We start from the raw sequence: 18,534 nt of genomic DNA, 5'->3' as shown, positions 1-18,534 counted from the left end.
AAAGACAAGTTAGGCTGAAAACCTGTGCCAGGATAACTGCCACATTGTGAATAGAAAGATAAATTCTTGAAGGAAATTTAAAATGCCACTTCAGTGAACATGAGTGATAAGAAATAAAACACTCTTATTGCTGATATGGGGAAAATTTCAGTGGTCTGGCTTGAAGATCAAAACAACCACAACAATCCATTAATCCAAAACCTAATCCAGAGCAAAGCCCTAACTCTCTTCAATTCTGTGAAGGCTGAGAGAGGTGAGGACACCATAGAAGAAATAATTTAAGCTATCAGAGGTTGATTCCTGTGGTTTAAGGACATAAGCCATCTCCGTAACATAAAAGCACAAAGTGAAACAGCAAGAGCTGATGCAGAAGCTACAGTAAGTTATCCATAAGATCCAGCTAAGTTAATTGATGAAGGCTGCACTAAACAACATCCTTTCAATATAGAGGAAACAACCTTATATTGGAAGATATCACCTAAGACCTTTATAGCTAGAGAGAAGTCAATGACTGGCATAAAACCTTCACAGAACAGGCTGATCTCTTTTTAGAGGAAACTGCAACTTTAAGTTGATGCCAATGCTCATTTACCCCTCTAAAAATCCTAGGGTTCTTAAAAATTATGGTAAATCTTTTTTGTCCATGCTTTATAAGTATAATACCAAAGCCTGGATGATAGCACATATGCTTATAGCATGAGTCACTGAATATTTTAAGCCCATTGTTGAGATCTGCTACTCAGAAAGAAAAAGATTCCCTTCAAAATTTTACTGTTGTTTGACTGTGAACTTGGTCACTCATCAGCTCTGATGGAGGTGCTCAAGATTAATATTCTTTTCATACCTATTAAGGCAACATCTACTATGCAGCCTGTGGATCAAGGAGTAATTTTGAATTTCAAGTATTATTATTTAAGAAATACAGCCTGTAAGGCTAGAGCTGCCATAGCTTGTGATTCCTCTGATAGATCTAAGAAAATTAAACCAATAACCTGGAAATAATTCATCATTCTAGAAGCCATTAAGAACATTCATGATTCATGGAAGGAAGCCAAAATATCTATACCAACAGGAGTTTGGAAGAAATTGATTCCAACCTTTGTGAATGACTTTGAGGAACTCAAGACTTTAGTGAAAGAAGCAACTGCAGAGGTAATGAAAATGATAGTCTGTTCAATGTAGCTGACATGAAAACAAAATATTAGAATATTACATAAACATAATTGATAAAGATGCAGCAAGGAGAGGATTGACTCCAATTCTGAAAATTCTACTGTGGGTAAAATGCTGTCAAACAGCATCACATGCTAGTAGCTTGTAGAAATCTTTTGTGAAAAGAAGAATCAATTTATTCAGCAAATTTCATTGTTGCCCATTTTTTTAAATTTTATCTATTGACCAAATAAGTGATGAGTTTTATTTTTTATTTGTTCATGTTTTAAAAAATTTTAAATTCAGGAGGTGCACGTGGAGGTTTTTTACATAGGTATATTGGGTTCTGCTGAGGTTTGAGCTTTTAATGAGAACATCACCCAAATAGTGGGCACAGAACCCAATAGGTAGTTTTACAACAGTTGCCCCACTCCATTCCCCTCCTCTTTTTGGAGCCTCCAGTGTTTACTATATCCATCTTTATATTTAAAAAGAGCAGGATTTGCTATGCTCTTCTTCTACCAGATAAAACAGACTTTAAATCAACAATAGTAAAAAGAGACAAAGGGCACTGCACAATGATAAAGGGTTCAATTCAACAATAAGTTTTAACTCTCCTAAATATATATGCACCCAACAACAGAGAGCCCAGATTTATAAAACAAATACTGGTAGTCCTAAGAAAATAGATCAATAGCCATACAATAACAGTCAGGGACTTCAACACCCCTCTGTCAGTACTGGGCAGATTATTGGTGTGGAAAACTAACAAAGAAACTCTGGACTTAAATTGGACTCACAACCAAATGGACCAAATAGCTATCTATAGAATACTCCACTCAACAACCAAAGAATATACATTCTTCTCATCTGTGCACAGAACATTTTCTAAAATTGACCAAATGCTTCGTCATAAAGCAAGTCTCAATAGATAAAAAAAAATTGAAATCATATCAAGTATCTTCTTGGATCACAGTGGGATAAAATTAGAAACCAATACCAAGAGGAACTATCTAAACCACACAAGTACACAGAAACTCAGCAACCTGCTCCTGATTTACTTTTGGGTAAACAAAAAAATTAAGGCATTGCTGCCTTATTTTCAGAACTTGCCATAGCCACACCAGCCTTCAGCCACCATCACCCTGATTAGTCAACAGCCATCACTCAAAGCAAGACCCTCCTCCAGCTAAAAGGTTATAATTTGTCTAAGGCTCAGAAACAGAAAGTCAAATAAAGCATGTTTTCGCTTATAAGTGGGAGCTTATTAATATGTACATGTGGACATAGTGTGTGTAATATTAGTCACTGGAGATTTTGAAGGGTGAGAGGAGGGTGAAAAATGAGAAATTATGTAATAGGTACAATGTACACAATTTGAGTGATGATTACAATAAAAGCCCAGGGTTCACCACTATGCAATATATCTTTGTGACAAAACTTGATTTGCACCTCTTAAATTTATACAATTATATATATGTGTGTGTGAGTATATGTGTATATATATATCTCAAATGGACAAGCTTTTAACTAGACTAAGAAGAAAGAGTGAAGATTCAAATAAATAAAATAAAAAATGACAGTGGAGAGACTGCAACTGATACCACAGAAATATCAAGGGTCATAAGAGACTACTAGGAACAACTTATGCCAACAAATTGAATAACCTAGAAGAAATGGATAAATTCCTAAACGCATACAATCTACTGAGATCAAGTCATGATGAAATATAAAATCTGAGCAGACTAATAACACATAAAGATCTGGAGTCAGTAATAAAAAAAATGTGCGTTAAAGTAATATCCACAACCTAATTGCTTCATTACTAAATTCTACCAAACGTTTAAAGAAAAACTAATACCAATCCTTCTAAAACTCTTTCATAAAATCAAAGAGGAGGAAATATATCCAAACTCATGTTACAAGGCCAGCATTACCTGCATACCAAAACCAATTACATTACAAGAAAAGAAAGTTATAGACCAATATCCCTGATTAACATAGATGAAGCAGTCATCAATGAAACACTGGTAAATCAATACTTAATAGCAATTAAAAGAAGCATTTATGATGATCAGGCAAATGTATCCTTGTTATTCCATAGATGGTTCATGTCGATGGTGCATGTCTACAAATTAATAAATGTGATACACACACTAACAGAATGAATAAAAAAGATATATTATCATCTCAAATGCAGAAAATTATTTGGAAAAATGCAATATCATTTTATGATAAAAACTCTCAACATAGTAGGCATGGAAGGAAGGCATCTCCATAATGAAGGCCATATATGTTCAAGCCCACAGCCAACATCATACTCAGTGGCAAAAAGGTGATAACTTTTCATATAAGATCAGGAGCAAGAGAAGAATGCCCACTCTTAACTATTTCTATTCAACATAGTACTGGGACTTCTAGCCAGAGCAATTAGGTGCACTCATACACACACACACACTCACACACCTACACACATGCACACACACAAGAAAGAAAAGAAAAGAAGAAAAATGAAAATAAATGAAACATATCCAAATCAGAAAGGAAGAAAAAATAATTTTCTCAGTTGAAGACTACACAATCTTATATACAGAGAACTCTAAGAACTTCACGAAAACCTGGTAGAACTAATAAATGAATTCAGTAAACATGCAGGATACAAAATCAACATAACAAATATCAGTAGCATTTTTACACATTAATAACAAACTATCCAAACAAGAAATCAGGAAATCAATCCCATTTACCATAGTATCAAAAATGATAAAATACTTTGGAATAAATTTAACCAAGGAATTGAAAGTTTTCTACATATAAACTATTAAATATTGATGAGATAAATTGAAGAAGATACAAATAAATGGACAGACATCTCATGTTCGTGATTTGAAGGAATTAATATTGTTGAAAGGACCATACTACCTAAAGCGATCTACAGATCCAATGTAATCTTTATCAAAATTCCAATGGCTGTCTTCACAGAAAGAGGAAAAAAGTTTTAAAATTTATATTAAAATGCAAAAGACCTCAAATGGACAGACGAATCATAAGTGAAAAGAACAAAGCTGGAGGTGTCACAGTGTTACATCTCACAATCTACCGCAAATCTATAGTGATCAAAACAGCATGGTGTTGGCATTTTAAAAGAAACACAGACCCATGGAACAGAAGAAAGAATCTAGAAATAAACTTACAAATCTATGATCAACTGTCTTTGACAAAGGTATCAAGAACACAAAATTGGAAAAATACAGTCCCATCAATAAATGTCCTAAAGACATTTTTTTTCCTTATGTAAGAACACCATTCTCAACGAAAGCACAAATCTCTGTGGAAGTTCAATTAGGTTTTCCAACTTGTAATATTAATGTAGATGCATAATTTCAGGTTCTAAATGGGGGTGGGGTTGGGGAGGCCAGTCTACATGGTCTGAATGAGCAGTCCTGTTTAAGAAGCTAAAATTGTTTTAATTTCTTGAGGTATGTTACGAAATGGACAAAACTTGAAAACATGAAGCTAAATGAAAGAAGCCAGACACAAAAAGCCACATATTGTATGATCTATTTAGATTAATACCCAGAACAGGCAAATCTACAGAAACAGAAAATAGATTAATTGTTGCCAGGTACTGGGGGAAGTGGGGAAACAAAGTTGTGTCAAATAGTTCAATGTAATAAAATGAGTATGTGCACTAGTCTAATCATAAGAAAATATTACAGTTCCCCAAATATATTCTGCTTCATTTTCTGCCTTGAAAGAATATTTAGTACTTCTCTTGCAAAATTTTCTTGACCTTATGCCACATTTTGATTTGCTCATTTTTAAATTCAGGATTATTTCAATTATACTAAGATTCACTGAGTATATACTCATTGCTTTTATGCATATTTAGGTGCTTTGTATTTCGTGGCAAATTCAGTAGTTTCTATACTTATATTCTAGTGACAAGTAACACATACTAGTTAACTGAGCACTCAAATAATTCACAAGACACCTGGAAACAAAAATGATATAAAAAGACTGTGGTTATAATCCAACAGCAAAATGTCTAAATCTAATGTGCAGGAGAAAGTCTTCCTGGGATGGAGATATTGTCTCAAATCTGAAAAAGATGAAACTTGGGGAGAGGAAGGGATTCTTGGCAGAGGGTTTGACAATTAGAGAGGTCTTGAGGTGGACAGGTCCAGGTCATTTTGGAAGTGAAGTCCAACCTGGCTGGGTTATAAATGGCAATGGAAAGGGCCCCACTCAACTACATTTCTGGCTAGGTTATAAATGGCAATAGAAAGGGCCCAGCTCAAGTACATCTGTGTGCTATAATTATCAATTATCACCTCCTTCATCCCTTTCTCCAGGAAGCTTCCCTTTTCTTCTTTCTCATTCTCAGCCCTCCTAAAATGACCCTCTTTGTGGTTCACAAACAAACAATTCCTTAAGGCATTATTTTAATATCACCTGTTTATGAAATCATTGCTTCCAGTATGAGATTGTGAGTGTTCTTTGCTCAAGTATGGAACACTGAGTTTCATCCCTGTTATCCAAAGCACCTACATAAATGTTATTTCGGTAACATAAAATAGGAAAACAGATAAATACATGAAAACACCATATTTATGAGTGTTTATTAGATGTCAGCATAACAAAATTAATAGAAGATATGGTATGTAACTCGAATAAATATGTGTATATTTATATGTGTGCATATGTTTGTGTGTATATATATGTGTATATATATATATATATATATATATATATAAAATTGCTTTTACTATAGAACCTACAATGCTTGCGCATGAACATTTATCTGTGTATGTCTGAGATATCTGCCCTTTTCATCTATCTCTGTTCTTGTTTCCTGGTGACTACAGCACTGAATCAGCTTGTTGAGAAAACATGAAGATGACCTTATATTGGAATGGATGTATAAGAGACAAGGACACTCTTAACTATTCATTGCAGTTATAGAAGCTAAATACCACTGAATATTTTAGGTTTTCTAGCTGCCAATGTGAAGTGTCCTTGTGTGAAAATATTTCAGAATAAAAGTAAAACCCAAGAAATTCCTATGTGGTAAGTGTGGCATATGAGACACTAGGACATGTCAGGAGAAGGTATCATGGTGGAGGAAAATAAAAACTATGAATAATTCCTGCTTTAGATAAAAGGCTTTATGGCTTTCAAGGGTAACACGTTTTCTTAATTAACCTGTATTCTTTCACAATTGTGACTATGAGCACTGTAATTTTTTCCCTCATATTTTAAAATTCTAATCTCCAAAGTGATGGTTTTAGGAGGTGATGAATTTATAAGGGTATAGCTCTCACTAATGGGATTAACACCTTCAAACAACAGGCCTGGAGAGTTCCTTTGCCCATTCTGCCATGGGAGGGCACAGCAAAAAATGGGGCTGTCTATCAAACAGAAAGGGACCTCTCATAAGACACTGAATCTGCAAGTGCCCTGTTTTAACTTTCCAACAACCAGAACAGTAAGAAATAAATGTATGTTGTTTATAAGCTACCCCATCTACAGTATTTTGTTATAGCAGCCTAAAGAGACTAATATGAGTACCAACATCGTGGAAAACGTTGCTTAACATACATTAAAGCATAAATAAAATGAAGTATTAGTTGATTGTCAATAATTTAGAAGATGTAAACATGTCATCTAATTAGCCCATTTCTCTCTCACATGTCACTTACTTATTACATCTGAAGACTGACTTGAGCTACACAGTGGCCTCTTTTATTAGATATAGTGGATGTGAACTAAAGAGAAGGAAATTTTAAAACCTATTAAAGCATTTCCAAAAAATACAATAAACTGATTTGCTTAATTGTGAACTTCATCTCCCTGAATGAATGGGACTGAAAACATTATTTGAAAATTTTTAGGGAATTCATGGGTTAAATAGAATCTTGAGCAGTTGGCTTATAGTGGCTTTTATCTGAGGATTCTACAGAAACATGGAATACAGCATCAAAAGCTGTAATCTATCCTAGACTGTTTACTTCGATCCTCATCCTTTCCTTCCCTTCTTATTCTTTCTAAATCATATTTTTCATTCAAATCAACCAACGACTGATGGAAAATAGTATTGTTCAAATACAATATTACTAATAGTGACTGTGTGGATGGGTGATGTTTATCTGGAGTCCTTCCTTCATCCTTGCCACTTTAATCCCTAAACATAAGAATGAAAATATCAATCCTCTTTTATACAAAAAAGGGACTTTGTCTAGATTATTTCCAATGACATTTCCAGGCACCACAGTCTATTTCTGTGAATTATGATTCTACTGCTGTGAAAACCCATCCCCAGTGTTAGAATGAGTTGGAAAAAGGTGAGTCACTTCATTTTTATACAAAAGAATCACACTATGCCTCTAGGCTGTTTTGACCTAAAATAGTGGTGAGAAAAATGCCAGTTAGATAGTACAAGTTTCAGGCCGAGTGAGGTGGCTCACACCTGTAATCACAGCACTTTGGGAGGCCAAGGCTGGTAGATTACTTGAAGTGAAGAGTTCCAGACCAGCCTGGCCAACATGGCAAAACCTTTCTCCACCAAAAAAAAAAAAAAAATAGCCAGGTGTTGTGGCAGAAACCTGTAATCCCAGCTACTTGGGAGACTGAGGCAGGAGATTCGCTTGAACTGAGGAGAAGGAGGAGGTTGCGGTGAGCCAAAATGACACCATTGCCCTCCAGCCTGGGCAACAGAGTGAGGCTCCATCTCAAAAAATAAATAAGCAAATAAATAAAGATAATACAAGTTTCAGAAGGCCAAACAGTTAAACACATCAATTTTTACTGTTCTTTTATTCAAATTTGGATCTTCATAAACATGTCATAGTAATGATTTTCCAAATTTGTTAATGCTTAAGTACACAAAAATTAGAACCTCAATGAGTATTGTGACTCACCTACACAGTGGCTACAATGAAAACATTCAAAATATCCAGCAATGGTGAGAATTTGGCACAATCATTAATCTTACATGTTGACAGTAGAAATGGGCATTGACATTTCATGTTGTAAAATTGTATGGCAGTATCTACTATAGACGGACAAACAAATGCCCTATGACTCAAAAATTTCATTCTTAGATTTATAACCAAGAGAAATAAATGAAAGACTTAAACACGTGTACACAAATCTTCACCACTGCATTATTTGCAATAGCAGTAAAATTAAAAACAACTCAATATTTTATCAAAACATTAGATCAGAAGTTGGAGACACTTTCCTTAAAGAGTTAGATACGCATGCAAATTCAGTGTGATTGGAATACTTCGGATTTCTGTATCACAGCCTATAACGAGACTGATCATTCATGGGAAATGGTCAAAGGACACCTTCTGGGTAGGGAAGATAATTTATCATTGGACATAACTAAATTAAAGAAACAAATTTTTGAAGCCTCTCAAGCTCACTTATCCTTTGTGACTGGAGCTGAGGCATTAGATCAGGTGGCAGAAAATCTTCATGGATTAAACTCCACGACTTGGATTAAGTCTACTGGGGGCTCCACTGTAGAAAATTTTGGAATTATGTTTCTCTGTTTAATCGGCTTGTTTTTAGTGTGCCGGACCAGTCAAAGAATCCTGTGTCAAAATCGGGAGAACGAACAAGACTTCATCGCCATGGCACATTTATATAAAAAGAAAGGGAGAGATGTTGTGGGAAGTCAGGAACGCCCAGTGGAGGGACCCACTGAAGCCATGGCAGAAGAACGTGGATTGTGAAGATTTCATGGACATTTATTAGTTCCCCAAATTAATACTTTTATAATTTCTTACACCTGCCTTTACTGCAATCTCTGAACATAAATTGTGAAGATTTCATGGACACTTATCACTTCCCCAATCAATACCCTTGTGATTTCCTATGCCTGTCTTTACTTTCATCTCTTAATCCCATCATCTTTGTAAGCTGAGGAGGATGTATGTCACCTCAGAACCCTGTGAGGATCGCATTAACCGCACAAATTGTTTGTAGAGCATGTGTGTTTGAACAATATGAAATCTAGACACCTTGAAAAAAGAACAGGATAACAGCAATGTTCAAGGAACAAGAGATAACCTTAAATTCTGACTGCCTGTGAGCCAGGTGGAACAGAGCCACATTTCTCTTCTTTCAAAAGCAAATGGGAGAAATATCACTGAATTCTTTTTCTCAGCAAGGAACATCCCTGAGAAAGAGAATGCCTCCCTGAGGGTAGGCCTCTAAAATGGCTGCTTTGAGGGCGGCCGTCTTTTATGGTCGGAGCTGTAGGGATGAAATAAGTCCCAGTCTCCTGTAGCACTCCCAGGTTTATTAGGATGAGGAAATTCCCGCCTAATAAATTATGGTCAGACTGGTTGTCTGCTCTCAAACCCTGTCTCCTGATAAGATGTTATCAATGACAATGCGTGCCCGAAACTTCATTAGCAATTTTAATTTCGCCCCAGTCCTGTGGTCCTGTGATCTCGCCCTGCCTCCATTTGCCTTGTGATATTCTATTACCTTGTGAAGCACATGCTCTCTGTGACCAACACCCTATTCGTACAGTCCCTCCCCTTTTGAAAATCACTAATAAAAACTTGCTGGTTTTACGGCTCGGGGGGCATCACGGAACCTGCCAACATGTGATGTCTCCCCTGGACACCCAGCTTTAAAATTTCAAAAACAAACAAACAAACAAAAAAGAGTTAGATACTATATGTTTTAAGGTTTGCAGATCATAAATTGTAATAATCACTCAGGTTTTCCCTTGTATCACAAAAAATCCATAGATAATATATTAATAAATTGGTATTTCCAAGTTCCAAAAAGAATTTATGGGTCATAGTTTGTTGATCCCTGCTCCAAATTAGATGAATAGCATTATGTTATGTTTTCACCTCAGCATGCTACCAACAATGAGAATGAATGCACTATCTCCACATCAACAGCATGGAGGAATCTCACAAACGTAATGTTGGGTGAAAGAAGCCAGACTAAAAAACAGTGTAAAAACTGATTTTACTACTACATACTTCAAAAAACATACGAGATTACCCAGCATATGGACATCAATTCATAATGCATGCAGAGACAATTTATGAGATGCTAGTAATTTTGGTTTTTATTGGCCTGGTTCTGGGTGCTGAAATATTTTCCTTTCTAGAAATGTACTTGGAGTATATTTTCTAAATAATAACTTTCTATACGTATGTTATTTCCTAAAAAGTTTTGCCAAAACAAAGTATATTCCCTAAGATATTATTTTACTGCAGGATTTTTTTTTAATCTAGCAGTTTCGTGTATATCCTAAGTGTTCAATATATGTTTGTAAAATTAATGCAGTGCCCAAATTTTATAGAATATCTTAATAAATGATTAATATTTATTTCACTAAAAGTTCTGTCCTGCTTGTAGAACAACAATGTCTTTATCAACTCACAGTAGCAGGGAAACTTAATGTTCTTTGGTATCAGTATCATGTAATGAACTCTGTTTCATAACATTCCATGCTTTAGGGCCTGACAACTGTTTTCCAAAGAAGGTGGTTTTTAGGAAGACAATTGCTTCCATGGTAATGGAAGTCACCACAGAAGCTTTAAATATATATACTTTTTTTTCCTTACTTACTTGGGTCTGATATATAACATTTCTCCTAAAGACAATTTTTTTTTATCAGTTATGTGAGAACATTATTCTGAATGAAAACACAAATTCCTGTGAGACTTAAATAAATTTATCCAACCTGTGATATTAATGTAGTTACATTAATAAGGGTTTGCAGGCCACAAGTTGCATGGTAATTTCTAAATCAGGACGGGGGATTGGTGGGGAAGAGAGTCCACATGTCCTGGAGAAACAGTTGTATATGAGAAGCTAAAGCTGAGTCCTGACTAAAGAAAATTAACCTGCGAGAATTTAGCATTCCTGAAGACAGGGAAGCATCTGGGGTAAAAAAAATGAGATTGTAAAACAGAATCAGAAGAAGGTGACCAAGGGCAACTCCATCTTCTCCAAATACATACTAGAAAAGTAAACAATGTTTGTAAAGCTCTTGGGTAATACAAATCCATCTGTTTCTTGATGTTTAACTGTTAGGACAATTACTAGCAACTACTTGGGTGGTTTGAGTTTGCCCCAGCCGTATCTCCCACAGGAGTACATTTGTTATCTTAGTATTGGTATCATCACACAAGAAATTACAATGCAATATTAAAAAAAAATCATCACTAAGAATTCCTTTTCCCCAAGTTAAAAATGTACTAATTTACTGATTTTAGACTAATGGGTGTTTTAGCTTTATAGAAAGCAAGGGAGGAAAACAACAATAAATAAACAAATGAAAACAAAACAAAACAAAACAAAACAAAAAACAGAAAACGGCCAGGCATGGTGGCTCATGCCTTTAATCCAGAATTTTGTGAGGCAGAGGCAGGTGGATCACGAGGTCAGGAGTTCAAGACCAACCTACCCAACATAGTGAAACCCCGTCTCTACTAAAAATACAAAAATTAGCTGGGCATGGTGGCATGTGCCTGTAGTCCCAGCTACTTGAGAGGTTGAGGCAGGAGAATCGTTTGAATCTGGGAAGCGGAGGTTGCAGTGAGCCAAGATCGTGCCACTGCACTCCAGCCTGGTGACAGAATGAGACTCCATCTGAAAAAAAAAAAAAAGAAAAGAAAAGAAGAAAAGAAAAAAACAGAAAACATACACCTACCCACCGCTCCATCCACACACACATGAAAAAACCCATGTGTTTTTATTAAGTCACAGATAAAGTTTCAGAAAAAGTAAAAAGTTACATGGAGTACTTCAAGGCATAACTGGTACATGTCTAATACATCTTACTATTTTTGCCCTCATATTTTGCATTTACTGGCTTAATTTCAAATAAATTAGCTGCATTCAGATTCAGAATATACCCCTGCTGTACACGATTATCATATATTGTCTTGAAATGTCAATCAGCAGTAGATATTAAATGAACATAGCAATTTGCACTTATTAGAGTACGTCATGATTCGCATATTTTAAAATATAACTGAGAACATGGCTAATACAGAAAGCATCTCCAAGGCTGCTTTTCATTTCAATTACATGTAACAACCTCCCTAGAGAACAAGGCATACAATAAAATGTAAGCAGTAGTTGCAGAGTTGGTCAAAATCTTTTAGACTGTTTTAAATCTCTTACTCTATATATATAGTGCATATATGGGTATATTTTACATATATGTACATATATTTTACATAGTTTACATATAAATATCTATGTAAAATGTCCTCTTTCTATAAAGAAAACAATTATGTTAAATACGTTTTCACAGGAACAGATTTAAATGAATTTAGGCCAAGATTTTGAGGACCCGCGTATTGATCACTAGATCATTATTCAAATGTCATTCTTATTTTTTCTTCATCTACCTACAACTCTATTTTTCTTACATAACCACAGAACACAGAGGTACTTGTATGGTATTGGATATGATATTATTTGTTTTAGTCAGAGATAACTGTGGAACATAGAATTCAATAGAATTCAATTTGTCTCACAAGGTCCGCTAACTCTTTTTAATCAAGAACAGGCATATTTCAGAGGTACACAAAAGAAATAATGACAAAGGAAAATAATCAATCAATATTACAGCTTCTGAGAAATAGGATGAAGAACATTTAAGACAAAACAATGTCTGAAGTATGAAAGTTAACTGTGAACATTTAAATATTTTTGTCAACTGTCTTTATGTCATGGGATACCTGGGGTGTTATTTCGCCAGCCAGAGACCTCTGTTGCTGGTGGCACCTTTGCCCAAGTAGGCTTTTGCTTGGGCTTGCTGGGCTCCCTCCACTGCCTTGACCTGGCAGGCTGTACTTGGCTCGCACTACCAGCCCAGATCCCATGCCTGCCATGGGTGAGCCAGGCTGGAGTGGGGATGGATGAGTGAGCATACAAGCATGGAGTCTGGCCACTGCACACTGCCAGGCATGCCAGCTGCTGCAGCAGGATGGGCAGCTCCAGGTGCCGGATCCATGGAAGCCTGTTGCTGGTTCAGATGCACCACAAGCAGCCTCTACTGCGGGCACCCATGTCTGGATGAGGGGAACATGGTACCAGCCAGAAGCATGGAGACACCAGAAACCGAAGAGCCCCAAAGAAGGTGTCACAGCACTGGCTTGGACAGCCCTTAGTTCTGGGCCCCCTGAAGGGCCGCAGCTCTTCTCTCCTTCTTGTCACTTGCAGTGTGGAGAGTGGTTGGGGGGCCACACTGAACTCATTTCAGCCCTATTTGTGTTACAGCTCTTTCTGTCCCGCCACTCGGCAGGTTCCAAGTTCTTGTCCTGCCTCCAGGAAGATTGAGGTATGCAGACAATTGGAGGGTGAGCAAGGTGAAGAGGTGCTTTACTGAGCTACAGTACAGCTCTCAGGAGACCCAGAGTGGTTAGCTCCTATCCACAGGCAGGTCATCCCCAAGAGTGTACAACTCTTAGCAGAGAGGAGACCTAGAGTGGGTAGCTCCTCTCTGAAGGCAGGTTGTCTCATCATCTGCCTAAGTTTGGCTGAGTCTGGGGTTTTATGGGCTTCAGAGGGGAGGAAGTGTGTGCTGATTGGTCCATGGGTGGCCACAGGCGGGCCCAGGAAAAGCACCATAAGTTTTCACTCTGGTCGGTGGAACTGGCCACCTGGCCCCCAGTCTTCAGGCTATCCCTGGCTTGATGTTGAAGTTTCACCAGAGACCTACCCCTTTGAACCCAGGAGCCTGTCTGAATCAATAAGTAAAGAAATAAGAAAAAAAGTTAATTTTGATTGAAAGCTTATCATAAGGCAAAAAGAAATCATTGATTGTCTAGTATGTATCTCAAATATATGTTTTGTATCTTATAATTAAGTACATAAGTGGTTGTGGATGCTAAAGGCAATGGCATATTAAAGGCAAGTGTAAATTATTTCAAAAATAATTAAAGTACTTATTGAGATTATTATAAGATATTTAATAGCTTCCATGATTCTTCTCTAGTTTTCTGATTATCAAAGTACTGCAAGTGGCTTCTGTGGTAAACAGGGACATGGATATGCATTTGAAGGACCATATGAGAATCACAAACACTCAAATGTTTTCTGCAATTACACAGGCTAAAAGTCACTCAATATCTAAGGCTAGCTAGGTGCCATTGTAAAATGCTTTTGAGTGAAAACATTTTAGATTTCCTGTAAATCCCAAGTTGAGCAATGATACTCTGTTCTCTAGGATGACATTCTTTCTGAGATTCGGAGACATAGCATGGGGAAGTATAGAAGTAGAAAACTCAATGGGGTTGCTTCCTTTGGTCATTATATCTCCTCAGTTAATCCATGTTCTTTTGGAAATTTTACCTGCACACTAGATATATCTGGAACAGCATCATGGCAGGAGTGTGCTTGAATCAGAATAAAGTCCAAGAAAAGGTGGATGTCAATCTCCAATATGCAACAATAAGAATGAATGTACTACAATTGTATGAAACAAATTGGATGTATTGCATAAATATGTCATTAAGTAAAAGTGCATACTGTAGGCATCCATTTATATATGGTTCAAAAAATATGAAAGTAATTTACTGTTTTAAACATCAAGAAAGTAATTACCCTTTGGGAGTAGGAGGGTAGTAACTTAGGAGGGATCATGCAGAAGACTTTGGGGGATTCTGGTAATATTCTTTCTTTCTTTCTTTCTTTCTTTGGGTCCTGGTTACAGGAGTATTTTTATTTTTTTTGAAAATTCATCTAGTTGTATACCTATCATTTAAGTATAATCTGTATGTATATTACACATCAAAAGATTTTCTAAAAGCAAAATCTGTTCACCATTAGACTGTAGAAATTTCAGAATGTTATTACTATAAATTTGTATTACTAGTAATTCCTTGTATTCAATAGAGTTCAGCATGTTTTTGTGAAAAAGTTGTGCAACTTTCATAAAATATTTCAGTAAATATTTATTTATTAAAATTTCTCTTTTTAAAATAAAACAAAAATGTTTTATTCAGCCTTTAAGAACTTTTAGTATTGTTTCCTGTAAAAGGGAAGCTAAGAGAGCCTGATTCTTTTTGGGACAGTACCATGCACTAAACTTATTCATAATGGTTTATGACTTAGGGACAAACAACCAGGTTTTTCTGAAGGAAGAAGATTATAAGCAGACAGTTACTTACAGAGTATTATCTTTCGGAGCACTGGTGACACCAGGGAACAAATTTAGATACAGATATTTTTCCTCAGTTGCTTACCTCTGATGTGAATTCCAACTAGGTTGTTTTCTTCCATAATTTAAGAAAGCATCTTCAATTAAATACCAATAACTTTATCCAACTTTTTATAATAATGTAGCCACTTAGATTCAGGTTTTAATGAAAAGGGTTGAAGAGAATTTAGCCTACATGTCCAGGGACAGTCGAGTTTAGGAAGCTAATTTAGGTCTTACCTAAGTAAAGTATAACCTAAAGAGTCCTGTCATTCCTGTAAACATGTAATCACATGATATGAAAATGAGTTTGAATCAAGTTAAACGTCCATTTCCTTTAAGTATGGACCAGAGAAGTAGATGATGGTAACAAAGCTCTTGGGCAGCACAAATGTATCAGTGTCTTTAGTGTAATGGGTGGAAAATTATTACAGTTAATTTGTTGGACTTGTCTTTAACAACATGTCTAATAGCCATAAATTTAGCATATTTGTAACACCACCATCTCCCAAGCAATGACAATAAAGCATAAAAAGTCACTGAAATTTAATACTAAAAAGTACTTTTCCCCCAATCAAGAATATTTTAATAATTTAGCCAGATGTAGGCTAGCTTTATAGGAATTTTGAGAAAAGGCTATGCCCCTGTCTACTCCCTGGTAAGGTTTGGGAAGACACAGGAATCACCTGGAGTGTTTATATGGATACACTGGCTTATGTCTATCACTGACTATTTTAGTTACACATTTTTCTTTCACTTTTTTGTAGTAAAAAATAGATTAACTTCCTTAAGACAGAATGTCAGTGGGAATACATTTTTGTACAGTACAGTCGACAGTAGACTTTAAAGAACACATAGAAATCTGTACTTGTAAGTATCCAGCAATGAATCACATATTATAAAACACCACTCAGAACATGGCCAGTACAGAGAAATTTTTTTTCATTACACTGTAGTCAGAAACATATTGAGAGCAGGTGCTTGGAGAAAGAAAACTTCATGCCTATGAGACTCCAGAAGTTTACTCTTTACTTCTGAATTTCACTTTTGGTATCTGTATAATGAAGTTGTTAGAGATGGAAACATAAGACAATATTTGAAATGTATGATAAGATATATGGAGATATAGTAATTAGTATATGGAAAACACATGGGATGTGATACACGATCCATTGTAGAATGTATTTAAATTCATACCTTTTCCTCCACAAGCCCAGGCCTGAATGAAGAGGTGCTTTAAAAGCACATTTTTAGAAGGGAGAGTAGAGACAATTTTATGGCCAGAACAATGTGAATGCAGGATTCAGCTCTCTGTCCCATGAAGTTAAAGGCTAAAATAGTTGACTAAAATAGGGACGGAGAGGAGAGCAATACATAGCAGCCATAGGGGAGTCAATGGGGTAGACACAAAATTCACACTTTGAGTAACTTCCAAGTATCAAAGGACTGCCATGAATAATTGTACACAAAACTTATTTTGGAAATAAATAGAACTTAGCTTTTTTCTTAAAAAGCATGGCCTCAACACATGTTTTCTTTTTTTTTTGAAACGGAGTCTCGCTCTGTTGCCCAGGCTGGAGTGCAATGGCGCAATCTCAGCTCACTGCAAGCTCTGCCTCCCAGGTTCACGCCACTCTCCTGCCTCAGCCTCCCGAGTAGCTGGGACCACAGGCGCCCGCCAACACGCCCAGCTAATTTTTTTGTATCTTTTAGTAGAGACGGGGTTTCACCATGTTAGCCAGGATGGTCTCGATCTCCTGACCTCCCGCCTCGGCCTCCCAAAATGCTGAGATTACAGGCTTGAGCCACCGCGCAGGGCCACGTTTTCTTTTAAATAATCATCTTTGTACATATCAACTATATTAGGAGAAACAGACCTGAAAGTTTGTTTATGTTTATTCTTGGTTGAACATTACCAGCCTAATAAGCAGAAAATATTTAACATCACACAATCACATTTAAAAACATACATTACTCACACATATCTCTGTGCTAGAGATTGTGGGAATGTAGAGAGACACCTAGGCCAACAGACAAATAAAATATAAATTAAGAAAAAGTGTGTTCAATGTGACGGATGTTGTACATCCATAAAATAATTGAAATGAGGGTAGTTGTCACTGTAGTTGGGGAAAAAGTACTCAGACAATGATTAATGAAAAAAAGCAGCATGTTAGATTATCTTATTTCTAAATGGGAGATGAAGGAGATTTTCAGAAGTGGAAGAAACAGGATGAACAATGAAAAGGACAAGAAAACCATTAAGTTGAAAATCTACTCAAGTTTCATTGGCTGTCTTATTTCATGATAACCATGAAGCATACTGTTAAATGAATTCTGATAAATTTCTAACATTGGTCAATTTGGTGATAAAGCTGAAAAATTAAAAATGGAGCCTTTGGTAAACTAGTTGCAGCATTCACTGGGGAAAATACAGAACTAGGAATCTAATTAATCATGTTTGAATAACATAAAGGAGTGAAGGCAGAGGCTTGAGAGATTTATGTCCCAACAGTCACCAGTAAAAATAAAATGTGATCTGCCTATTGTTCACATACCAGAGGTAAGGACAGAAAGACTTGCTCATCTCAGGTAGGTTTCTGAATGATCAATTTAAAGGACAGAGGAAAAATTTTGGAAAAATAAGAAATCATGTATTAAGGAATTTACAAATGAATGATTTTATAGATGCTTACTCAGTTGAAGCACCTCTGGAATCTAATGGCCAAACAATGATATTTTCTTATTGGATCTGTGTGAATTTGACTGACCTTACTTGTCATTGTAAGAGGATAATATAGATTTCACCCATTTATATTTTAATCAACCTTCATAAGTAAATCATTACTTTAAAAAATCACTGTACCTGTGATATTATTTTAGATGTAAATTTAAGATAGGTTCTAGATTTACTCAAATAATAATAGAGGTAACACATTACAGATATTAATTTATGAAAATTCAAGTTCTTAAGGTACATGCCATAATATTTAAGTCTAGAAGAAATAACAATCAGACCCACCCCACATTTCAATTTTCATATAACAGACACACACAGGCACACACACACACACAAGAGTAAGTGCACATATAACACAAGCAACAGAAGCCTATATATTTCAGAAACACTTATTGTTCTTCACATTTTGATTTTAATGAAAAAGTCAATTATAAGCAAATATAAG

Source organism: Homo sapiens, chromosome 11 (assembly GCF_000001405.40).
Source record: "Homo sapiens chromosome 11, GRCh38.p14 Primary Assembly".
Classification (NCBI taxonomy): domain Eukaryota; kingdom Metazoa; phylum Chordata; class Mammalia; order Primates; family Hominidae; genus Homo; species Homo sapiens.
Note: the sequence above shows the minus strand (reverse complement) of the source record.